The sequence below is a fragment of the Homo sapiens genome, chromosome 6 (assembly GCF_000001405.40).
Source record: "Homo sapiens chromosome 6, GRCh38.p14 Primary Assembly".
NCBI lineage: Eukaryota > Metazoa > Chordata > Mammalia > Primates > Hominidae > Homo > Homo sapiens.
The window spans coordinates 90308965-90334964 of NC_000006.12; the positions used below are offsets into that span (position 1 = coordinate 90308965).

The following is a 26000-nucleotide window of genomic DNA, read 5'->3' on the forward strand; positions in this document are numbered from 1 at the left end:
AACTAGACGTTTTTGCTCAGTAGATCAAATTCTGTCTGTAGATCTGCCAGACAGCCAGCATGGCTCAGGTCTAGGGGAGGATGGTGAAGGAGGGTTGGCTTCTAGCATTATTCTGGGCCAGAAGAGGAGCCTGGGGTCTGACTCACTCTCCATCTTCTCATGGACTTCACTATCAGCACAGGCACACCCACCTTCATCTTGGTCCTATTCTCAGTACTAGGACTTTGTAGAAATGGAAGGGGTCCTGCTTTTGAGAAAAGTCCAGGACCTTGTCCCAGAGTCCCAAGTCTAGGGGAAAGCATGACCATTCCAGTAGTCACATTAGCTGCAGGTTCATGTAACATCAATGGCTAACATGTGTTGAACACTCATTATTCTTAGTGCTTTACTTGCAGTATCTTATTTTATCTCTGGATGACCAACTCATTCCAGTTTGCCTAGAACTTTCCCAGCTTTAGCACTGAAAGTCCCACATCTCAAGAAGCCCCTTAGTCTGGGGCAATTCAGGAGGTTTGGTCACCCCAAGCACCCTGGGAAGTAGGAAGCTTGGCAGAGAGGAGTGAAATGATTTTCTAATGACATACCCCTATCAAGTACCAGAGGCAGGATTTGAACTCACGAATTCTGGCTCCAGGGCCTCTTCTCATGACCAACATGCAAGGCTGCCCAAGCCAGTATAAGCTGCCTCTGCCAGCAAATGTTTGGGTTTGGTCCAGATACCAAGTAGATGGCAAATAGCACTGGTGGCTATGGGGAAAATAGTAAATTGTACAGTATGAAAGTTCCCAAAATTAAAAATGGAGACTTGTACTTTGTTGCTGACAAAATGCCAAAGATTGCTTTCTAGACTTGACTGGCTGTCAGATTTGGTGTCTCGTTTGATTCTAATATTGGTGGTGCCTTTAATTTTGGTAAGCATGAGATTGGGAAATATGGACCAGATTGGCATGGTGGATAGGTAGCTTCAAGGCGGAGTGGTGCAAGGTGGGATTCTGGCTCTCCTTGAAGGGCTTTCATATCCTGCACTTACTCTATCATCTCTATGGAACCACTTAGCGGCCACCATATCTAGTCTTGGTTTGCTTCTTTTCTTCTACTTCCTGTGCAGTTCCTCTCTGCTGCATTTATGTATCCTTTTCTACTCCTCTCTCCCACTCCCAGAAGCACTAACTTGGTAATGCTACTTCTACTCCACAGTCAGACCAGAGGTGAGCAGCCTGGCACATGCCAGCTCGAGAAGATTGTAAACCTGTCAGCTACCAGGACAGGCTCAGGGAAGGAAATGGGAGAAGCACAGAGCAGGAGGACAAGCGTGCTAGTCACACAGGCAAACACTAGCAACTTGGCGATTTGCTGGAGGTCAAAGAAATGATGGGGTTATTTGTACTTGGATATTTTAATTTTCTTATTTAATTAGATTGTTCTTCTGTTGCAAGAAGTAGAGACCTTTCCAAGGCACTATGAGAAAGAGGTCAGGGGAGTAATGGTAAGGAAACACATGGATTCAATCTGAAACTAGAATTTTAAAGCTGTCAGGTTCGTCTCTCAAGGGCTATGGGGTTCTGTTTTTCTCTGAGTATCTCTGCTCCATTCCTTGAACTTCTGACCAGCTTTCTCTGTTTACTTGGGAAGTCATGATGTGAATCTCAGCCCCATCCACTGAGCATCTGGGTAAGTCTCCTGGAGTAATTTGTCCATGCATCCATTGGATTACTAGTCTCCACTTGCCAAGTGGCAGAACGTCAGCTCTGCCTGGACTCAGTGGGGGATTGGGGAGATGGCTCTGTTAGCTTCTGTGGCTCTGCCATGGCTGTTCTGGCTGCCACTCCAGCCCTCGTTCATGTTGCTTGATAGCACGGCCCATGCTGCTCCACAGAGGTGCTGGCCAACCCTGACCTCTAATACACCCCAGGACCTCTGTTCGCTCACTTGCGGGCATCTCCCTCCTAAGGAAATGGCTGCTTCTGCTAGCCTCCTCTGGTCTAGGTGATGTGGGGGACGATGATTCCCATGGGAAGCATGGGAAGCACAATAGAGGCACACTCTATTGTGTCTATCCAAACCTTACTAATTTGGAGTTTTGTGGGGTGGTGTGCTGTGTGTATGTGTGTGTGAGTTCTTTTGGTTGGATGACACCACTCCTCCCTGGGAGTGGAGATTGTGAAGGAAAGTCTGGATTTCAGATGGCGCTTCAGACTGTATTCAAAGCCACTCTTCTCATCCCACACCCAAGCCCTTCTTCTAGTCCACCCTACTGGATTTCTTCATTGTTTTGGGGGTTTTCCTTCCAGGGGTTAGTTGCTCCCTGCAATTTAGCCCGTGTCACTTTCCTTCTCTCCTTCTCTGGCCTGTCAAACAGACATGCTGGTGTGTGCAAACCCAGGAAAACTGAGGAATGTGGCTGGATTCTTATTGCATGGCCCTTGCATGTTCTGTGAATGTACAGAGGATCTCTAGGGCTTCTTCCACCTCACAGACAAGCCAATTCGAGCATTGGCTTGGGGTCCAGCCAAGATATCCCTTTATGTTCATAATTTCTGTTTTCTAAAACTTTTAAAAACAAATGTGTCCCTTTTTAAAGATATGACTCTTCATGACCATTCTATATCTGTCCTTTTAGCTTCAACTCCTATTTTCTTATTTATTAGATCTTAGTTCAAATGCATGTGAGGAAAAATCTGATTGGCTCCACTTATGATTTAACACAGGCCGGGCATGGATTGGCTGCCTTGGCCCAACCCTGGTCCAATCAATTTACCAGCTTGAGGTGGGTGGCGAGAGGGGAGGGGTGTCCCAAGGAACAAATCATGGTCACCCAGGCCTTCACGTTCAGCATCTGCTGTGCATAGGATACTCTTTCTTTAGAGTCACTATTGATGGGTAAACACAATGACTGATACCTCAAATACATTCATACTTCAAGAATGAACTGTTTTCTGAAATATCAACATGGGGGCCTTCCCCCCATTAAAATTTCCAACCGTAGTGTGCTTTCTTATTTCATTTTAGGTATGAAAAATGATATAGAGTAGGAGTGTTTGGGAGTCTTCTATGTTTTTGTTGCTTAGATGATTCCCATGTAGATTTCTACACTATTCGATTTCACACAGATATGGAGTGATTCACAGCTTAGAAGAATATTGCTGTGTCCTTTTCTGCTGCCTTTCATAATAAGACTTCAATTGCTTTTAAAACACTAACTAAATCTCATTAACATTATCTCCCACATGTTAATAGGAAAAACAGGTCTGTAGAACAGTGACATTTCATGATTAAAAATACATTTATTTAATGGTTGAGTTGCCTCGATTTGAATATTGCCCACTGCTTCCATAATAACAGCAGAAGTTTTTCACAGATGCTTTTTAATGGGTAACCCCTGCTATATCTCCACTAGCAGTATAAAACCTTGAGTAATGTGCATTGATTTGATATGTGCTAATTGCTTATCAGAAATTACTCAGTTGTAGCCTATCACTGCTGAAATTACTTCCAAGGAGAAAACTGGGCACTTTTGAAAGGTGCATTAATGCCACTAGGTCACTAGTGTCACATTTAGTATTCTAAAACAGTAACTGTAATGGCCTGACAGAGCCCAGTGCTCATCCAAAGACATTCGATGTTCACTCAAAGAAGAAGGCACAAAGAGAATCTGGCCCCAAATGTGGAATCGAATGCAAATAAAAATTGCTTCAATCTATTATTTTATAAGTTTATTAAAAATCAGGAACAGCAAATAAAAATTGCTTCAATCTATTATAAGTTTATTAAAAATCAGGAACCTTAGTAAGGTTTGGATAGATGCAATAAAGTATGTCCACAGCTGAAAGGACATACTTTATTGCATGTATCCAAACCTTACTAATTCAGAGTTTTGTGCTGCGTGTATGTGTGTGTAGTAGGAGTATGTGTGTGTGTGTTTCAATGCTCCTGCTTCTGATCTCCAATAAATAAGGTTATGTTTTGTATCCAACTCTGTGGTATACTGGTGCCATATTTTGTCTTGAACAATTCTCAAAATGTTTAGATAATTAGTTCTGTTTAGGATTGAAGTAATCCACTGGGAACCCAGGGTGGGCGCAGTTTGGTGATTGAGGGGGCAGAGGTAGTGGAGTAGTCATGCATGCTTCTCAAAGCCCTAGTGTGGTAGGGATGCATGGAATGGCCAGAGAGAAACCAGGACTGCTGCCTACATGGATGCCTGCCTGTGAGGTGGGAGGTAAGGAAACCTCAGTGGCCCCTACCCTGGCTTGAGTGGAGGCCCAGGGCTGGGGTGGATAGCAGTGGACAAGGAGCACCACAAAGGCAAGGAGCAGGTTTAGGGGAAATGAAACATTGACTCCTTGTGATGAGGACAGTGGGCTGGAATGTTTCACATTTCCCTCCAAGCCACCATTCTTATAGTCACTATTTGCCTAGTGTGACTGCCAAATCTGGGGTCCCTGACACTCTCTCAGCTTCATTTTCCTCTTTGCTGGTCTCATACTCAAGCTGGTACTCGCCATGTGAAGGGCAAGGTGGTCACCAGCAGCTCCAGGCTCCTTACTGCAGGTCCTTATGCTCCACATCTCTGGGGAGGGGCAACAACACTTCCTCTCCCAGGGTCCATATGCACACCTCTGGCGGGCCTTTGTGTGGCCCTGCTGGGTCACATGCTTATGCCATGGAACTGCCATTAAGGAAAGAGAGACAGAAACTATGACTGGCACATTTCCATCTTAAGGGACAGAGGGGTGTTGGGCAGACAAAAGCAGCCAATTTCCACTAGACTTTCCTTCAGACACCTATTATAAACTGGGATGCGTCTGATTCTAAGATGAACAGTATTTTTGTGAAAAGCCTTCTTAAAGAGGAGCAGCTCTTCATTTCCTTGGATAATCCAGGCACAGCCCCATATTCAATGTGCTCATGTCCAACCCAAGCGGATGCTACCCATCCCCTTCTGCATATTCTTTCCCACAATGTCATGCCACTTCTGTGGACAGTGCTCCTAAAATGAGCTGGTGTCTATGTGGCAGAGGATTTTGAGTACCAGACATGGATCTTTGCTCTCAATTTCTTCATCAATTAGGAAGCATTCATAGTTTTTGAGCACGGGGGTGATGAAGAAGGGGATATTGCATTTGATGTGCAGCAGGCAGTTGGAAATATGGGTCTGAAACTCAGAAGGGAGGTTCGAGCTGGAGAATAGCTGTGAATAGAGTGACAGCTGGAGTAACAGAAATAATGATATTATATCCAAAAGACTATAGAGAAATAAGGGAAGAGTGAAGGGCACACAGTCACTCATTCTAGAAACCTAGGAGTCATCATTGGCTCCCTCCTCCCCTCACTGCCGCATATTCCATCTTTCAGCCATACCTGATAATTCTACCCTCAAATTCCATTTATAGAACCTGTCCACTGCTATCCATCTCCATCCAGGTTGTAGACTTTCCTGTCCTTACTACTGCAAGTGCACTGGCTCCTAAACAGTCTCTGCTTCCACTCTTTCCTATGTCCAACCCATACTCACCTAGCAGTAAAAAGATTTTTCTAACATGTGAATGGTGTCATGTCACCCCTCTGTTCAGAGCCCCTACAGGGTCTCACACTGAGGTTATGATAAAGGACAGCCATCATATCCTGGTCTATGAGGCTTTGTGTAACCTGGCCCTTACCTCTACCTCCAACCTTCAGTCACTCTCCATTCATCACATCTAAATCACATGCAACGATTTGTTTCTCAAACACATCAAGCACTCTACCAGTTCTGCTTTAAACTTCCTCATCAGCCCTAAGTCCGCCTATTCTTCTTACCTTCCATCTCCCCAGCGCTGGTTTCTACTGCCCATTCCCTTAATCCTCTCAGTAACACACAGTGTTTTTAATGCCTGAGGAATCATCCTGCAAGCACAGACCCTTCTTTGGCCACCTTACCTTCCCAACCCAGCACTGCGGCAAGGAGCTGAGCAGAGCAAGGTGGTTCCTGAGAAACCTTCCAAGAGGAGAGGGAAGCCCATGGCCATGAGGACCACAAAAATCACCATTCTTTCCCTTTTAAAATGTGTTCTAGTTTTAAAAAATATAATACTAAAATTGGGTTTATTTTTAAAAATAAGGTATAAAGAAGATTCTTCACTTGACAAAAGGATTCATCTTGAGGTTTCTTAAAATATTGATTTTTTCTAATATATTCAAAGCTTGTAATTTTATTTTCCACAATTCAATTCACACAAGTTTTCACAGGTACATTAACTGCAGAAAATAAAGCATGCTTGTATTATTCCTGTGTCATAGATGGTAAAATTGAGGCTCAAAAACTTGCTGAGAATGACAAGGACTATCAATAACAGAGTCAAGGTTCAAAACTAGAAAACTGTTGGCAATGAATCTTTGCTCAACTCAAGGATTAATTCTATTTTCCCAATAATTTTCTCTTTAAAATATAGTGTAAACCCCAGCTATTCTTTTCCAATACCTGAAATGGACTTGAGTATAAACATGTTAATGATTTTTTGTATAACACCACGTAGGGGATTCCCAGATACTGGTTATGTCATTCCTTAGAGTCCTCCTCAGCTAACTGTAATGGTTGTGCTGGGCTGCCTGCACCAAGGCTATTTTTGATAATACATTTGTGTTTTATCCAATGAGCAACCAGGCAGAGAGGCAACACTGGGACAGTTAACTTACATTTTAGCATAGTTGTGAAAAGTGAATAACAAGTTCTTTTTTTAAATAAAAAAGGAAATGAAATTAAAAACAAGACTTCAATTTAATCTAAGAGACTGGAAATGGCAAGCTTGCCCCTTGTGAATTTGGTTCCGGTTCACCGAGTCTCAACTATCAAAGCAGCAGGGCAAATGAAGGAGGGAGTATCGCTCAACCTCTAAACTTGCATTTGTGGGTTTCATCTGGGCTCCATGTTATTGTAAAGGGTTTTTATGTTACCAGACTTCTGCTTAAATTAACAAAGCTTTTTGTAGATGTGGACCTATTTGATGCTACTCAAACAGCGTATGATTACCACAGAGGTAATTTATAGGGGGAAATCCCAAATACTTAAGCATTTAGGTAAGTATATACAAGTAAAGTCAAGATCTAGATGCAAGCCCTGTGTAAACACAACTGCATCATATTTTGATTTGGGAGGGAAAATTAAAGCTAGTGCTTGCTCAAAGACACTTTCACATTAAGACAGTCTAACTAGCTAGGCTGTTCTTTTCACCTTGTCTATCCTCCCGAGTGCACCAGGACAAGGGTGATAAATCCTACTCAGGCAACTGTTGTAAAGGAAATTGAAGCCCATGTAAATCCAGGGTTTATATTAACTATGGAGAGCGTAAGCATCAACAGTCAGTACCCACTTAGAAGCCTTTTAGCTACGTGTACTGCATTATATTCAAAAACTAGAAGGGAAAAACACCAAATCACATTCTTTCAGCATGTAGAAATCATTTTTGGTACTAAAAATGTGTTTAGTGCTACCATGGAAAAATAAAATGATTTTTTTGACCAAAACATTCAATTTTGCCTTTAAACAAACTTAAATAATTCCAAGTAGAGGCATATTTTTTCTTCAAAGTATTTACACTTAATGGACAGAACAGGAACAATAATTATTGTTATTTAAACTAGACAGTGAATCAGCACTTCATATATATTATTTGCTTAATCTTCACAACTCCACATGGTAGGTTTTATTGTCTCCCTTTTATAGATGAACAGATTAGGGCTCAGATAGGTTAAATATGCCCAATATCATACAGCTAATAAGTGGCCAGTTCTATATCCAAGTCCTGGGTTCTGTGATTTCACACTATTTCTGGAAATAGAGTTCCAGTCTTCTTGTGAGAAAAATTACGTTGCTTCATGCCCCAGGTCGGATCTTTATCTGTTAGTCTTCTTTTATTTTATTTTTTTATTTTTTTAAAACAGAGTCTTGCTTTGTCACCCAGACTGCAGTGCAGTGGTTCAATCTCAGCTTACTACAACCTCCACCTCCTGGGTTCAAGCGCTTCTCCTGCCTCGGCTTCCCAAGCAGCTGGGATTCCAAGTGTGTGCCACCACGCCCAGCTCATTTTTGTATTTTTAGTAGAGACGGAGTTTCACCATGTTGGCCATGCTGGTCTCGAACTCCTGGCCTCAAGTGATCCAACCTCCTCGGCCTCCCAAAGTGCTGGGATTATAGGTGTGAGCCACCATGCCCGGCTTGTTAGTTTTCTTTTATTTCATTTTTATTATACTTTAAGTTCTGGGATATATGTGCAGAACTGCAGGTTTGTTACATAGGTATACACATGCCATGGTGGTTTGCTGCACCCATCAACCTGTCATCTACATTAGGTATTTCTCCTAATGCTATCCCTCCTCTAGCCCTCCACCCCCTGACAGGCCCCGGTGTGTGAAGTTCCTCTCCCTTAGTCTTCTTTTAAAAGGGGACTAATAATAATGGTCAACTCTGACATTTGACTTTACCCTAAAAATGGTCATATTGGATGGCTACACCATCTTATAGACATTGGGTTATGCTTTACTCCAACTTGGTCCTTTGCTCTCAGCTCACGTGGCCTCATTCATGTATTTCAGAAGCTGGTTCTATCCTGTTCCTTTTTTCCTTCCTTGTTTAGTTTTCTTACATACCACCTACAAAGATACAGCAATTTTTCATCCATGAAAAGTTGCATGCATATGGGATTATAAATCTAATGAATTTTTAGGTAAACTTTTTACTAAAATATAACATACTTATTATGAAGAGCACAAATTCACAGTTCAATACATCTTCTCAAAGTGAACACATCCATATAACCAGCACCTAGATCAATAAATAGAATATTACTGGCTGGCCATGGTGGCTCATGCCTGTAATCCCAGCACTTTGGGAGGCTGCAGTGGGTGGATCCCTTGAGGTCACGAGTTCAAGACCAGCCTGGCCAACATGGTGAAACCCCATCTCTACTAAAAATACAAAAAATAGCCAGGCCCTTTGGTGGGTAATCCCAGCTACTGAGGAGGCTGAGGCAGGAGAATCATTTGAACCACTGCACGCCAGCCTGGGTGACAGAGCAAGACTCGGTCTCAAAAAAAAGAAAGAAAAAAAAAGAATACTGCCAGTAAATCCAATGATATTTTCATTTTAATTCATTTTTGTTTTAGAGACAGGGTCTCGCTGTGTTGCTCAGGCTGAAGCACAGCGGCACAGTTATAGCTTATTGCAGCCTTCAACTCCTGGGCTCAAGCAATCCTCCCATTTCAGCCTCCCAAAATGGTGAGATAACAGGTATGAGCCAGAGTGCCTGGCCCCACTGATTTTTTACATGCTGAATGGGATATTCCTATTTCAAAGTTTATGTAAAGAATTTTTGTAAAGGTAAGAACAAATTTGAAATGTGTTTCACTATGTTTCATATATTCTGGTTTTCATAGCTTGTGTCTTTTTTTTTTTTCTTAGAGTTGGGGTCTTGTTCTGTCACCCAGGCTGGAGGCAGTGGTTTGATCATAGCTCACTGCAGTGTCGAACTCCTGGGCTCAAGTGACTCTCCCACCTCAGCCTTCTGAGTAGCTAGAACTATAGGTGTGCACCACCATACCCAGCTAATTTTTAATTTTTTTTGTAGAGACAGGGTCTGGCTATGTTGCCTAGTCTGGTCACAAACTCCTGACCTCAAGCAATCTTCCTGCTTCAGCCTCCCAAAGTGCTGGGATTACAGGCATGAGCCACCACGCTTGCTTTATAGCTTGTGTTTTCTTACATCCATGATGCATTTAAAGAGAACCTATTTTGAACAGTGTAAACACTAAGTTATAAAGGCATCTCCCACCCAAACTGCACATCAAAACAGCATTATACAATTTTTGGACCGCTTTTTCCTATTTATTAAATTTAAAACTAGCTTTTTTAAATGAATGTCTTGTAAAGACATTTCTGTTTTGAATTTTTAAAATTTGATTATCTTCAAGAAGAAACTCCTCTATGAGGACTTTTTTGTTTGCTCACCAGTGGGTTGGAGTTCATTTTCACAGGAGAAGAAAGGTCCTAGCCAAAGCCTGATTGTTTCATTTTCTGATTTGTCAACATATGGGACATTTACTCCTGAATATGGAGTATTAAACATAATTTGCAAACTCTTTTACTTTTGTCCCCATGCTTTGTTGTAGCTTTCATTCCACCAGTGGAAGATCTGCTGCTGTTGTATACAATAGAGAAAGCACTGCTGCTGTTAGAGAATGACGTGCAAGCCTCCAGTGCCATTGGAAGAGCATGCATTTTCTGAGAGTCAGGCTCTACATGTGAAGGGAGTCTGTTATGTTTCAGTGATGAGTCATATAGGATGCTACAGATGGTGCAGAGTGATGCTTCAAAGATGTGAAAAAATACTAATGGATCCAAGACTGAAAATTAACAGAACAAGGTGACTGGGGTGAGTAGATGAGTCTGAGTAAAATATTGTAGGACAAAAACTGCCCCAACTTCTAATTGTAGCACTTAGTGTTAGATGTGCCCAGTGGTTTATTTTATTAGGCAATGCTTAAGTCTTCAAGACTTGCACAGATGTCTGGTTAACAGTCTATAGTGGAGAATCAATGAAGTTGCAACCAAGGCATCTGTTTTTGAAACACTCCCCTAGTGATGTTCATGCTCTCCAAAGTCTGAGAACCATTGCAATATTGGGTCAATACTCCTATATAAAACTATTGTGGGAAAGTAAAATTATAAGTCTTTGAGTTTTAGAGTTCAAAAGAAACGTAGACTTAATTTTTTCATGGGAAGAGCCTGAGGCCCGTGAAGAAGTGATTTGGGCCCTGCCACCCAGTAACGTAGCCATGAAGTCAGAGCTAGAAGAAAAGTGCTCTGCTGGTCAGCTTAGCTTTTATTGCACGATTCAATACTCCCATCCTCCATCTCTAATTTAAAATCCAATTACACAGTGTCTAGTTATCTTTCTGTTTTCTACTATATTTTATACATGAAACAAAAATTTAGAAAATGTGCATGCAAAGAAAGTAAGTTACTATTTTAATATGCTTCTTTGAAGTCTTTTTGTGTTTTCTACACAGGTTACTTTTTACAGTTATTGTAATTTATATCTAATCTTGTATCTTGCTTCGATTTTTTTTTTTTACTTATACTATGGTAACCTTGGTTTTATAGTAACAATAAGCTCTTACTAAAGGTAGTTTCATGTGGAAACTAAGTTTTATCAATGTTGTAAACGCTCAGTGGTTGCTAAGAGAAACTGATACTTTGTTCCCATAGGAACCATTGTTTTAAAATGAGAAATATAGAATCTCTAGCTTCAAAGGATAAAAACTTAGGTTTGGGATGGGAAATATCTTACCTTTCCTGGAAAAATGTGAAAATTACTATCCCCTGATTGGAACAGTATTGTCATGGGGTTGCAATCTTCTGAATGGGTGAAAATGTTCTAGGTGGCTGTTTTCTCTTTCTGCTTCCCTCGTGTTGATGGTGATGCGTGGTGATGCATGGAAGGAGAGTGAGGGAAGATGACTCTAACTCCCCTTGGCCTCTTAGAGCAGAGACATCAGAAAAGGCAAGCCCACACTTTCCATTTGATATGGTAGTTTGGTTTTCTTATTACAGAAGGGAACAAAGGGAAGGGATTTTTATACTAAGCTGCTCTGGAGCACTTAAGTACCAGCATACATTTTCCGTCCAGTTATAGGCTGTTAACTTTAAGTTAATGATTCGGAGTGAGTGAAAAAAAATCTGCTTAGTTCTGATCAGAAACCAAGAATCAGAATGAGGTGGAATTGATAACAACTGTGGTTGTAAATGCAGTGGTTGTCAAACTGGCAAACAGTTGCTGGATGGGCACTATTCCCTGAACCCCATGTCGGGTAGCACGTTTCTCTATTGCCCACAGCCAGCAGGATCGACTGCTTTCCCTTCCCTATCTGACTTCTTCTTTCCTCCGCTGGTGTTCCCTGTGTTTTGCAAAAAACTACTTGAAACCTAGTCATTGTCTCAATCTGCTTTTGAGAGAACACAAACTCAGACACATACTGAGAAGTCCAAAGAAAGATTATGAAAATGAAATGTATTGAATGGTACTTCCAAAGGCATTGGAATTATCACCAGAGCAGGTGCGTACAAACATACTCACACAGTTGTGCGTTGATTCAGTTCATACTTGTGATGGATGCTATGTTGTGCTGCTGTCTCCCCAGGAATTAAGGACTTATTACCCCCAACTGTTGGGAGTGCTGCTGGCAGACAGCCCTCAGCAGGCAGCGCTGCTTCAGGAGGGGCTTTGGCTGAGGAAAGCTGCTTCCCCTAAGGTCACCCCTCTTTCCCAGTGTGGCCCCCATTCAAGGACAGATTCAAGCAGGACTACAAAGGCCCAGCCCTCAGCTCATTCAGATGGCTCTGAAGAGTCATCCATTTTCAGAACTTCCCATCAGGTTAGGTGAGGCATTCCATGGAGACTGCACCAAAGCTTGACTTCTCCCTCTGCCCAGGCCTGCTCCTTTGCCTTGCTCACGTGGTGATCTCAGAGTGTTCCTGAAGGGACTTCCGGCACGCTAATCTGCAGCTCAGTTCGTTTCCCCATGAACCCAACTTGAGACAGTATGGATTGAGAACCTACTATGTGCTAGACACTATTCCAGGTGGTGAGGGAGAGAGTGGAGACCAAATAAACTTTCTGTGCATACGTTTTACTAGGAAGAAATTAACATTCTAGAGCAAAGGTCAGCAAACTATTTTTCTGTAAGAGACAGATAGTACATTTTTAGGCTTTGTGGGCAATATGTTTTTCAGTCACAGCTGCTCACATCTGCCACTGTTACACAAAAATAGCCTCAGAAATATATAAATGAATGGACATGGATGTGTTTTAATAAAACTTTATTTACCAAAATAATAGGCAGGTTAGATTTGGCCCTTGGGTTATAATTTGCTGAATTCCATTCCAGAGGGGAGGAAACAAGGAAACAAATAATTAAACAAGAAAACATCAGATAGTGGTAAGTGCCATAAACAAATTAGTTAGGGTGATATGATAACAAAACACCATTATTGGTTTTTTTTTTTTTTTGAGACAGAGCCTCACTCTATCACCAGGTTAGGCTAGAGTGCAGTGGTGCAATCTCGGCTCACTGCAACCTCCACCTCCCAGGTTCAAGTGATTCTCATGCCTCAGCCTCCCAAGTAGCTGGGACTACAGGTGCACACCACCATACCAGGCTAATTTTTTGTATTTTTAGTAGAAATGGGGTTTTGCCATGTTGCCTAGGCTGGTCCCAAACTCCTGAGCTCAAAGTGATCCACCTGCCTTGGCCTCCCAAAATGCTGAGATTACAGGTGTGAGTCACCGCACCTGACCCTATTATTGATTTTTTAATTAAATTTTTTTCGTAATATAGTCACATGATTCAAAACCCAAAAGGATTGAAAAAGTATTCATTTAGAAGTGTATGTCCTGGTTCCTGTTGACCCCCAATAGGATAATTTTATTTTTATACTTTTGTGTTTCTTTTCAATGTTTCTTAATGCAAATATAAGCAATTATAAATGTATATTCTTATCTACCCACCCACCTCAATTTTCTGCAAAGGTTAGCATACAAGATATCCTGTTCCAGACCTTACAGTTACTCATTTAACATGTTCTGGTGATCTTTCAATGTCAATAGAGATCATCTCTACTTGTTTTTTTATAGCGGAGTACGTGTATACCTCTGAGATATTGCAGGTTTGGTTCCAGGTCATCTCAGTAAAATGAACATCACAATAAAGCCAGTCACGTAAATTTGTTTGTTTTCCAGTTCATATAAAAGTTATGTGTATACTAAACTATAGTTTATTAAGTGTGCCATAACATTGTATCTTTAAAAATGTACATACCTTAAATAAAAAATAGTTTATTGCTAAAAAATGCCAACAATCATCTGAGCCTTCAGTGAGTCGTAATTTTTTTTTGCTGGTGGAGGGCCTCGCCTCGATGTTGATGGCTGCTGACTCATCAGGGTGGTGGTTGCTGAAGGTTGGGATGGCTGTGGCAACTTCTTAAAATCAGAAAATAATTAATGGATCAATGGACTCTTTCTTTCATGAAAGATTTCACTGTAGCATGCAATGCTGTTTGACAGCATTATACCCATAGTAAAACTTCTTTCAAAATTGTAGTCAATCCTCTCCAACCCTGCTGCTGCTTTATCAAGTAAGTTTATATAGTATTCTAACTCCTTTGTTGTCATTTCAACAACATTCACAGCACCTTCATCAGGAGTAGATTCCATCTCAAGAAACCACCTTCTTTACTCATCCATAAAAAGCAACTCCTCATCTGTTCAAACTTTATCTTGAGATTGCAGCAATTCTCTGACGTCTTCAGGCTTCACTTCGAATTCTACTTATCTTGCTATTTCCATCACAACTGCAGTTACTTCTTCCACTTCAGTATTGAACCCCTCAAAGTCATTCATGAGGTTTGGAATCAACTTCTTCCATACTCCTGCTAACGTTGATATTTTGACCTGCTCCCATGAATCACAAATGTTCTTAATGGCATCTAGAATGATGAATTCTTTCCGGAAGGTTTTCAATTTACTTTGCCACGATCCATTAGAGGAATCACTATCTATGGCAGCTATAGCTTTATGAAATGTATTTCTTAAATAAGAAGTCTTGAAAGTTGAAATTACTCTTTGGTTCATGGGCTGCAGAATAGATGTTGTGTCCGCAGGCATGAAAACAACGTTAATCTCTTTGTACATCTTCATCAGAACTCTTGAGTGACTAGGTGCATTGTCAATAGGTAGTGATATTTTGAAAGAAATTTTATTTTGTTTTCTGAGTAGTATGTTTCAATATTAGGGTTAAAATATTCAGTAAGCCATGCTGTAAACAGATGTGCAGATGTGCTGTCATCCAGGCTTTGTTGTTCCATCTACAGAGGACAGGCAGAGTAGATTTAGCATCATTCTTAAGGGCCCTAGGGTTTTCGAAATGGTAAATGAGCATTGGCTTCAACTTCAAGTCACCAGCTGCATTAGACTCTAACCAGAGAGTCAGCCTGTCCTTTTTTTTTTTTTTTTTTTTTTTTTAAGACAGTCTCGCTCTGTTGCCAGGCCGGAGTGCAGAGGTGCGATCTCGGCTCACTGCAACCTCTGCCTCTCAGGTTCGAGTGATTCTTCTGCCTCAGCCTCCTGAGTAACTGGGACTACAGGTGTATGCTACCACACCCAGCTAATTTTTGTATTTTTAGTAGAGTCGGGGTTTCACCATGTTGGCCAGGATGGTCTCGATCTCTTGACCTCGTGATCCGTCCACCTCAGCCTCCCAAAGTTCTGGGATTACAGGCATGAGCCACCGCACCTGGCCCAGCCTGTCCTTTTAAGCTTTGAATCCAGGCATTGACTTATCCTTTCTGGCTATGAAAGTCCTAGATGACATCTTCTTCCAATAGAAGGCTGTTTTGTCTACATTGAAATTTTATTGTTTAGTGTAGCCACGTTCATCAATGATCTTAGTTAAATCTGGATAATTTGCTGCAGCTTCTACATCAGCACTTACTGCTTCACTTTGCATTTTAAAAAATGGACTTACAATAATTGTACATATTTATGGGGTACATAGTGATGTTATCATATAATGTATAGTGATCATGTCAGTACCTTGCACTTTTATGTTATGGAGATGGCTTCTTTCCTTAAACCTCATGAACCAACCTCTGCTAGCTTCAGACTTTTCTTTTGCAGCTTCTTCACCTCTCTCAGCCTTCACAGAATTGAAGAGAGTTAAGGCCTTGCTCTGCCTTAGGCTTTGGCTTAAAGGAACGTTGTGACTGGTTTGATCTTCTACCTAGACCACTAAAACTTTTTCCATATCAGCAATAAGGCTGTTTCATTTTCTTATAATTCATGTGTTCACTGGAGTAGCATTTTAATTTCTTTCAATAACTTTTACTTTCACCACTTCAATAACTTTTTGCATTCATCACTTGGCTAATTGTTGGCGCAAGAGGCCTAGCTTTTTGCCTGGCTTGGCTTTTGAGATGCAATTCTTCCTTTTACTTTAATGCTTCTTAATTAGGCTAATTTCAATATTGTTGTGTCTCAGGGAATAAGGAGGCCCAAGAAGAGGGTGAGAGACGAGAATGACCAGTGAGTAGAGTAGTCAGAACATAGACATTCATCGGTGAAATTTGCTACCTAAATGTGTGCAGTTTGTGGCACTTGAAAACAATTATAATAGTAACATCAAAGATCACTGATTGCAGATCACCATAACAGATGTAATAATAATGAAAAAGTTTGAAATATTGCAAAAATTACCAAAATGTGACACAGAGAAACAAAGTGAGCACATGCTGTTGGAAAAATGGTACCAATAGACTTGTTCACTTCAGGGTTGCCATGAACCTTCAATTTGTAAAAAGTACAATATTTGCGAAGTGAAGTGCAATAAAATGAGGAATGCCTATACTATTCCTAATATATGTATTATAGCTTATTTAATCAATTCTTTATTGTATTTGTCATAGTTTTCCAGAGAAATAGAACCAATTGGATAAATACATATATTATTCAATATATATTTGATCATCAGAAAACCCCAAATCTGAAATTCAAAATGCTCCAAAATCCAAAACTTTTTGAAAATGGACATGACACTCAAAGGAAATGCTCAATGGAGCATTCCAGATTTTGGATTTTTGGATTTCAGATGCTCAACCAGCATGTGCAATGCAAATATTCCAGAATCTGTAATAGTCAAAATTATGAAATATTTCTGGTCTCAAACATTTCAGATAACGGATACATAACCTGTACATAGAAAGAGATTTATTGTAAGGAATTGGTTCACATGATTATGGAGGCTGACCAGGCCCAAAGTCTGTTGAGCAAGTCTGCAACCTGGAGACCTACGAGAGCTGAGTGTAGTTCCAATCTGGAGGCTAACAGGTTCAAGATCCAGGAAGAGCCGATATTTTAGTTCAAATGTGAAGGCAGGAAAAAAGCCAAGGTCCCAATTTGAAGGTCATCAGGCAGGAGGATTTCTTTCTTACTTGGGGGACAGTCAACCTTTTTGTTCTATTTAAGCCTTCAATTGGTTGGATGAGGCTCGCCCACATCAGGGCAGGCCACATTAGGGCAGTCTGCTTTACTTAGCCTATCAATTTAAGTGTTAATCTCACCCCAAAACACTTTCACAGTAACACCCAGAACGGGTTTTGTGCAAATATCTGGACACCCTGTGGCCCAGTCAACACATAAAATTAACCTTTATACTTATTAATGGGCACTTGAGTAGTTTGCAAACTTTTGCTCTTACAAATACTGCAATGAATAACCTAACCTTGTTTTTTTGTTGTTGTTTGTTTGTTTTGTTTTTTGAGACAGGGTCTAACTCCCATCACCCAGGCTGGAGTGCAGTGGTGAGATCCTGGCTTACTGCAGCCTTGACATCTCAGGCTCAGGTGACTGAGTCTCCTACCTCAGCCTCCTGAGTAGTTGAGACTATAGGTGTATGTCACCGCACCTGGCTAATTTTTTGTATTTTTAGTACAGATGGGGTTTCACCATGTTGCCCAGACAGATCTCAAATTCCTGGGCCCAAGTGATCTGCCCACCTCAGCCTCCAAAAATGCTGGGATTACAGATGTGAGCCACCATGCCCATCCCTGCAATGAATAACCTAGTGCATACATCATATCATAAGTGTGTAGGTGTGTGTATCCATCTGGAGGATTAATTCCCAGACATGGGATTACTGGGTCATAGCAGATAAATTTGATAGAGATTGTCCTATTGCCATCCATGAGATTTATTCTAATTTGAAGTCCCACCAGCATATGTAAGTGGTTATTTCCCCATAGCCCTGTTAACAATTTGCATTAATCAAACTTTGGGGAATTTTTTGCCAACGTGATAGGTAAGAAATGGTGTCATCATGTAGCTTTCATTTGAATTGCTCTTTATATGAGTAAGTTTGCACACCTTTTCATGTGGTTGAGGACCATTTGCATTTCTTTGTGAATTTTCTTTTCTTTTCTTTTCTTTTCTTTTTTTTTTGAGACAGAGTTTTGCTCTTGTGCTCTCATTGCCCAGGCTAGAGTGCAGTGGCGTGATCTGAGCTCACTGCAAGCTCTGCCTCCCAGGTTCAAGCAATTCTCCTGCCTCAGCCTCCTGAGTAGCTGGGATTACAGGTGCCCGCCACCATGCCCAGCTAATTTTTTGTGTTTTTGGTAGAGATGGGGTTTCACCATGTTGGCCAGGCTGGTCTTGAACTCCTGACCTCAGGTGATCTGCCTACCTCGGCCTCCCAAAGTGCTGGGATTAGAGGCATGAGCCACTGAGCCCGGCCCGTGAATTTTCTATTCACATTCTTTGCTCGGTTTCTTTGGGTTATTGGACTTTTCTCAATTTCTAAGACTCTTAAGCATGAAGGACCTCAGCCCTTTGTGATATAGGTTGCAAACATTTTCTGAGTTTGTTGTTTGTATTCTGTGCTTATGTTGCTTTTTTATGATTTGTATCAACCTTTTCTGTCATGGTTATTGAACCTTGAGCTATGATCAGAAAGGCCTTTGAGCGGCACTGCAGACGGGTGCTCCAGGGAGATCAGCACACCCCAACTCCTTGCTTGTGCACTGGGGAAACATTTGTGGAAGAGAAGCTAACCCCATTGAGGCAGCACTGGTGGAAAACCAGATGTGCATAGCTGAACTCAAATGAGAAAGGAAACTAAAAACAGATTTTTGACCCAATGTAAGCATTAAAAGTGAGGTAAAACAAATAATATTAAAAAATCACATATAATGAAGGTAATTATATTGATTCTGGACTTGAGACATATAAACTCTTTGAGCAAAAAGTTATGATTTGTTGTAATTCCTCCATCTGAACAGGAATGCATAGATTTAATATAGGTTTTGATAAATACAACTTGACTAATTTAAAATTGATTTAAAAATCTTGCTGTTTCATCTTCATAAATTGAAAAGTAGGTTTGCTTATACTGGTAGCCCTTTATGGTACTTGAATAGTGGTCTGACTACTTTTAGAAATGAATAATGGATTAAAAGTACACTTTGCAGCTTACATTAGTTACTTTTGTAATGCAAAATAGAAACATGATAATGTACTATTCAGCATGCTTTAATATGATTTATATATACACTACACAGCATAAGTAATTCATTATGCCCTTCACAGTACATTTCCTGGGTACAGAAGCTCATGTTTACCAGTATTTCATCTCATAATCAGGATGTCTAATGGAGAGGGCCTGGGAGCATGACTGATGGATGATTCCACACTCCACTTGCCCCTGACTCATTCAGTGACCTCAGGGAAGTATTATTCTGGATCTGGGATTGGGTAAAAGTAAAAGTGAGTGTATAACACTTTATAGACCCAACCTAGAAGAAGGGGCTGTAGACTTTAGGATGTAAACAGCTTTGAAGTCTGGAGTTAAACGAACTTCACAGTTTATTATTATTATTCCAAGGAATTATCCTACTTTGGAAATAACTCTCTATGATGGTCATTCATAAAAGGCAGTAGTTCATTTCAGTGCATTTGGGAAGAAATCCTCTACTGTTTAATCAACAGCACCTTGTCACATACTGTATTTTTCTATTTGTAAAGTGTGGATTTACTGGAAAGCAGAGGTGATAGCCTTCGAAGTCAGCAACCGTTAAAGCCAATTTCATTCAATTTTTAGAATAAGCATGCATAGACTTCACTGAAGCTTTGAGTTGGAAGTAAGAAAGTAATTATAAGATGTAGACCTACCCCTAAGATTTGTGGAGCCCAGGGCAAGAGTACAAATGTAGGCCCACATACCAATATGTTTAAATATTTAAATGGTATAGATCAAGCTAACAGACTGTTAAATAAAATATGTTCTATCCTCTTACCTTGACAAATATATCTTCATAATGACCTGGAAGGCCAGATTTGAATTTTAGGTTTCTCTGAAGGTCCTGGAAAATTTTAAAATCACAATTCACTCTTCTGTTTGTCTGGTGTCAGTATGATAGTGACCAGTATTGGTCTCTAGACCAGAATTTGAACACACACACCCTTGAGGTATGTTTCAAACTTTGTACTTATTTATTATATGAAAATCACATTTCTTTTTTTATAATGTTGACTGTCTCTATGAAAATGAAATCATTAGAATAACTGAAACTTCTAAAATAGTGAGACTTGTACCTGTGATAAATGCTTTGACACAGTTTGATTCCCTTGACAATCTTATTTGACCTGGTCTATTTAAATTCTGCTGGAAACATAATTTTCACATCAAACTTCTATTATAAATTGTAGGATATGTAAAATGTGCAAGTTTTGTGCACAAACTTTTTTTTTTTTGCCTAACACACAAATTGTTAACTTGAATTCAAAGTAATCTTATTGGTCAGATAGATCTAATAATGGGGATGATATAATAGAAAAATTTGTATCTTAGAGAATGCACCTTAAGCAGTTTATTTTATAGCTGATATTTTTATTTTTGCTTGGGTATACGATTCTTATTTGTCAAGACTCCACTTTCTTTGTTAAAATGTAAAATGCATATTGGGCAAATGCTCCAGGGCAATTTGCATAAAAAGTGATGACAAAGAGCAATTAGTACTTCATTATTATGCAGTGAAATGCTACTTTGCTCAAAAGTGACTGTAGTTGTTCCCCCCAACCCCCTAGTAAATCTGGTACAGCATTGTTCTAAAAATAGTACTTAACAAACCTCTGTTTGTAAATCAGTCTTTGACTTTCCACTAGCAGTCCAGGGGGGAAGAAATCCAAGCACTAAATAAAGTTATTACCCCAGATCTTTGTAATGAAAAACAAGCACCGGAATTCTGTTAGATAAGACAAGTCAGAAGATTTTAGTGTCTCATCAAATTAGATCCATATCTTATTTTACCCCTTGGGATTAGCTTTGAAAGCAGACTCCATCACACACTGATAGCAACATCCCCCTCCTCCCAATACACATACTCTCTCAGACACACACTCAGAGGGTCATGCCACACACAGCTACACTGCAGAGAACAAACAGGCCCCAGGTATCTCTAGTTAGGAAGGCTTGGTTTTTGAGTACAGATTTCATTACCATGAAATTCCTTTAGGGCCAGAAAGAATTGAATCAAATAAACTATGTAAGGAGACAGACTTTGTGAATCTTTGTCCCATCACTTGTGTTATTAGGTGCTCCTCTCTCTTTAATTTGTCAGAAAATGCTCATTTTTGGATTCTCATTTTGTTTTTAAATATATTTTGTTGGCTGGGCACAGTGGTTCATGCCTATAATCCCAGAACTTTGGGAGGCCGAGGTGGGTGGATCAACTGAGATCAAGAGTTTGAGAAAAGCCTGACCAATATGGTGAAACCCCACCTCTACTAAAAATACAAAAATTAGCCGGGCATGTTGGCACATACCTGTAGTCCCACCTACTCAGGAGGCTGACACAGAAGAATTGCTTGAACCTGGGATGTGGAGGTTGCAGTGAGCCGAGATCGCGTACTGCACTCCAGGCTGGGTGACAGAGCCAGACTCCATCTATATATATATGTTTATATGTACATATATACACACACATATATACGCATATAAACATATATATGTTTTGTTTATGTGTGTATATATATACACATATATGTTTTGTTTATATGTATATATATACATATATTAAACATATATATGTTTTATATATTAAACATATATATGTTTTCTATATGTATATCTATGTATATATGTATATATACACATATGTTTACATGTATATATATAAACATATATAAACATATATATGTTTTGTTTCTATGTGTGTGTATATATATATACATATATACATATTATCTAAAATTTTGCAAGTCAAAATGTGCCAGCACTGTGTGTGAGTGTGTGTGTGAGAGAGAGAGAGAGACATAACCAAGTAATTGGATACTGGCAGGATGAAAAGGAAAACATGAGAAACTACCAAACCTTTGGAAATAACCCCATGAGGCTGGAGACAGACATGGATTTTACTATTTTTCTCCGGAAGTTGCAGAGCGGGCTTGGTGGGGAGGAGGAGGATGGGGTGAAGGTGGGCACTAGGTAAACACTGCCTTATTCTTGGTGCCCCTCCACCCAACCCTCTGTGGGCCAAGCCACATCAGTGCAATTCCTGCAGCCACATCTTTAGCTGGCATGGCTCCAAGATGGCTGACCTAAATCAGTTTTGCTGACATCCTGAGGGGTCTCTCATTTACAGGGGGCTGGGTCAGTTCAAGGGGTTTGTAGCATCTGCAGTTAAGTCACATCTCTGAAAAATAAGGAGCAGGGATAGACCCTTAGGCACATTGCTTTATAAGCACAAGTAGCTTGCACAGCTGAAAGTTCTTCAACCGGCCCAGGTTTTATTTACTTTCTCTTCTGTTCTTGTCCTCCTCAGGCCACCAGTGAAAAGAATGTAAGGTCACATAGCCTGTACCATTTCAGGGAGGCATTGTCTAACCTGGAGGTAATGTATGATCATTTTATACACCACCACAGATTCATTATTCATACAATTTTCCATTAATTTTTAATGCATCCAAGTTCCTACTTATTTAACATACAATGCAGTCGGCCAGATGTCTTCATAAAGCTATGAAAAGTGGTTCTGAAATACTCTTCCATAGCATCCCAATCTACTAACCAGCTGATGAGACAGTATTGCTCTTTAACAATGGGTCGGACTCCTGCTTTGGGCCCCCACACCTCAGGGACCCCCATGATTTAAATGGCTTTGCTTGAAGCCTGGCCTACAGTCTTATTGGGGTGGAGTGTCCAAGCCAGATCCCATTTCTCTCCTTCAGAGCACTATCCTACTCTCTAGCCATCTGGTAAGGTTGACCAGATGTCCAGAGAAGCTCTGAACCGCATACCTGTAAGATGATCTTAGGGCCAAGGTGGAGCCTCGTTCAAGAAAGCAGTCTGATGAAAATATGTTCCCACTGACACTGACCAACAGGTTATTTCTTTTGTTAGACTGCATGCCATTGGACCTCTAGAATGGTTTCCACAGGTTGATTTTGGGTAACTTATTTATGAGGGATGAAGAAGACAAGAATTTTTACATGCACTGATTGGGCAATAAACAAATACCCATTATTCTAAATTTTTACCAGTAAATCACTATACCTCACACAAACTCATTTTCTAATCAAATCATGTATATAGACGTGGCCTTGTAAAATATATTTGCCTAGGGATTGTACTTTCTGGGGCTAGCCTTGCCCTGGGGAACCACTATAGGCTCTGGAACTGGGGCTGATGTAGACTAACTAATTAGAGGGGGGACATTGGAAATGACAAAGAGCAAATAGAGAAATCTATGGCACTAACGGGGCTAAGGAGGAGTTAGTGTGGTAAAGTGAAATTACTCTAAGTTGAAAATCATGGGCTCTGAGGTCCTGGAACTACCACTACCCAGCTCTATGTTCTTAATCAAGTGTTTTTTTTTTTCTTTTTTTTTGAGAAAGGGCTCTTGTGCTTTTGCTGGGCTGCAGTGCAGTGGCACCAACACAGCTCACTGAAGCCTCGACCTCCTGGGCTCAAGCAATCCTTCCACCTTAGCCTCCTGAGTAGCCGAGATCACAGGTGCATGCCACCACACCCAACTAATTAAAAAAAAATTTTTTTTTTTGAGATGGGGGTCTCATCATGTTGCCTAGGCTGATCTCGAACTCCTGGGCTCAAGGAATCCTCCCACCTCGGCCTCTCAAAGTACTGGGATTACAGGCATGAGCCACCATGCCCAGCCTTGATCAAATCTCTTAATCTCTCCCTGTCTCAGTTTATTCATCTATAAAATGAGGGAGTTCAATATAGTTGTCTTAGTGGTTCTCAAACCTGACTTTGCAGCAGAAGACATAGAGAAGTTATTCAAAAATGATATTACTTCCTATATTATTCCATTGTCACACTGCTATAAAGAACTACCTAAGACTGAGTAAATTATAAAGGAAGGAGGTTTAATTGACTCACAGTTCTGCAGAGCTGGGGAGGCCTCAGGAAACTTAAAATCATGGTGGAAAGGGAAGCAAACACATCTTTCTTCACATGGCAGCAGGAAGGAGAAGAATGAGAGTTGAAAGAAGGCGGAAGCCCCTTATAAAACCATCAGATCTTGTGAGAACTCACTCACTATCATGAGGATAGCATGAGGGAAATTGCCTCCACGATTCAATTACCTCCTACTGGGTTCCTCCCACTACACATGGAGATTAAGAGAATTACAATTCAAGATGAGATTTGGGTGGAGACACAGCCAGACCATACAATTCTACCCCTGGCCCCTCCCAAATCTCATGTCCTCACATTTCAAAACACAATCATGCCTTTCCAACAGTCCCTCAAAGTCTTAGCTCATTCCAGCATTAAACCAAAAGTCCAAGTCCAAAGTCTCATCTGAGACAAGGCAAGTCTCTTCTGCCTATGAACCTGTAAAATCAAAAGCAAGTTAGTGACTTTCTAGATACAATGGAGGTATAGGTATTGGGTAAATATACCCATTTCAAATGGGAGAAATTGGCCCAAACAAAGGAGATACAGGCCCCATGCAAGTCCAAAATCCAATAGAGCAGTCATTAAAACTCAAAGTTCCAAAATGATCTCCTTTGACTCCATATCTCACATCCAGGGCATGCTGATGCAAGAGATAGACTTCCATGGCCTTGGACAGCTTCATCATTGTGGCTTTGCAGGGTACAGCACTCCCCTGGCTGCTTTTATGGCTAGTGTTAAGTGTCTGTGGCTTTTCCATGAGCATGGCACAAACTGTCAGTGGATCTACCATTCTGGGGTCTGGAGGATGGTGGCCCTCTTCTCACAACTCCACTAGGCAGTGCCCCAGTGGAGACTCTGTATGGGAGCTCCATCCCCACATTTCCCTTCCACACTGCCCTAGCAGAGGTTTTCCATGAGGGTTCCACCCCTGTAGCACACCTCTGCCTGGACATCCAGGCATTTCCATACATCCTCTGAAATTTAGGTGAAGGTTCCCAAACCTCAATTCTTGATTCTGGTGTGCCCTCAGGCTTGACACTATGTGGAAGCCACCAAGGCTTGGGGCTTACACCCTCTCAAGCCACGGCCCAAGCTGTGCCTTGGCCCCTTTTAGCCACAGCTGGAGCTGCTGGGACACAGGGGACAAAGTCCCCAAGCTGCACACAGCAGGGGGATCCTGGGCCCAGCTCATGAAATCATTTTTTCTTCCTAGGCCTCTGGGCCTGTGTTAGGAAGGGCTGCTGTGAAGGTCTCTGACATGCCCTGAAGACATTTTCCCCATTGTCTTGGTGATTAACATTTGGCTCCTCATTACTTATGCAAATTTCTGCATGGGTTGAATTTCTCCCCAGAAAATGGGTTTTTCTTTTCTATCACATCATCAGGTGGCACATTTTCCAAACTTTTATTCTCTGCTTCCTCTTGAATGCTTTGTCACTTAGAAATCTTCTGCCAGATATCCTAAATCATCTCTCTCAAGTTCAAAGTTCCACAGATCTCTAGGACAGGGCCAAAATGCTGCCAGTCTCTTTACTAATCCTTTGCTCCAGTTCCCAAGAAGTTCCTCATCTTCATCTGAGATCATCTCAGCCTGGACTTCATTGTCCATATCACTGTTAACATTTTGGTTGAAGTCATTCAAGAAGTCTCTAGGAAGTTCCAAACTTTCCCACGTCTTTCTGTCTTCTGAGCACTCCAAGTCTCTAGGATGTTCCAAACTTTCCCACATGTTTCTGTCTTCTTCTGAGCCCTCCAAACTGTTCCAACCTCTGCCTGTTACCCACTTCTAAAGTTGCTTCCACATTTTTGGGTATCCTTATACCAGCACCCCACTGTCTGTGGTACCAATTTACTGTATTAGTCCATTCTCACACTGCTATAAAGAACTGCCTAAGATTGGGTAAATTATAAAGGAAAGAGGTTTAATTGACTCACAGTTCTTCAGGGCTGGGGAGGACTCAGGAAGCTTACAATCATGGCAGAAGGGGAAGCAAACACATCCT

The 26000-nt window shown here is 40.9% G+C and overlaps 1 long non-coding RNA gene and 1 other non-coding gene across 3 annotated transcripts in view, besides 4 other annotated features; both read left to right on the forward strand.

Annotated features, from left to right (window-relative positions):
* The window catches only part of LOC105377891 (uncharacterized), a 60354-nt gene that overhangs the window by 11726 nt on the left and 22628 nt on the right, over nt 1-26000 (forward strand). The window contains exon 2 of one of the 2 annotated variants that reach the window (XR_942778.4): nt 22400-22468. The exons of the other annotated variant lie outside the window; for it this stretch is intronic. This is a non-coding gene — a long non-coding RNA (uncharacterized LOC105377891). The remainder of the gene's footprint in view (nt 1-22399; nt 22469-26000) is intronic. 2 annotated transcript variants of the gene reach the window in all.
* MIR4464 (microRNA 4464) lies at nt 3778-3869 on the forward strand. The gene has a single exon (NR_039671.1). It is a non-coding gene; the product is annotated as a microRNA 4464 (primary transcript).
* Nucleotides 17512-17656: an enhancer, noted in NCBI's record as "145 bp 6:91036267 sequence used in MPRA reporter constructs". NCBI's record gives its function as "activates a minimal TATA-containing promoter with rs7750559 allelic activity by MPRAs in C283T melanocytes {active_cell/tissue: C283T}" and the evidence as "EXISTENCE:reporter gene assay evidence [ECO:0000049][PMID:36423637]".
* Nucleotide 17584: a transcriptional cis regulatory region, noted in NCBI's record as "rs7750559 or 6:91036267 MPRA-significant variant associated with a GWAS melanoma risk locus at 6q15". NCBI's record gives its function as "allelic transcriptional activity by MPRAs in C283T melanocytes {active_cell/tissue: C283T}" and the evidence as "EXISTENCE:reporter gene assay evidence [ECO:0000049][PMID:36423637]".
* Nucleotides 18532-18676: an enhancer, noted in NCBI's record as "145 bp 6:91037287 sequence used in MPRA reporter constructs". NCBI's record gives its function as "activates a minimal TATA-containing promoter with rs6919512 allelic activity by MPRAs in C283T melanocytes {active_cell/tissue: C283T}" and the evidence as "EXISTENCE:reporter gene assay evidence [ECO:0000049][PMID:36423637]".
* Nucleotide 18604: a transcriptional cis regulatory region, noted in NCBI's record as "rs6919512 or 6:91037287 MPRA-significant variant associated with a GWAS melanoma risk locus at 6q15". NCBI's record gives its function as "allelic transcriptional activity by MPRAs in C283T melanocytes {active_cell/tissue: C283T}" and the evidence as "EXISTENCE:reporter gene assay evidence [ECO:0000049][PMID:36423637]".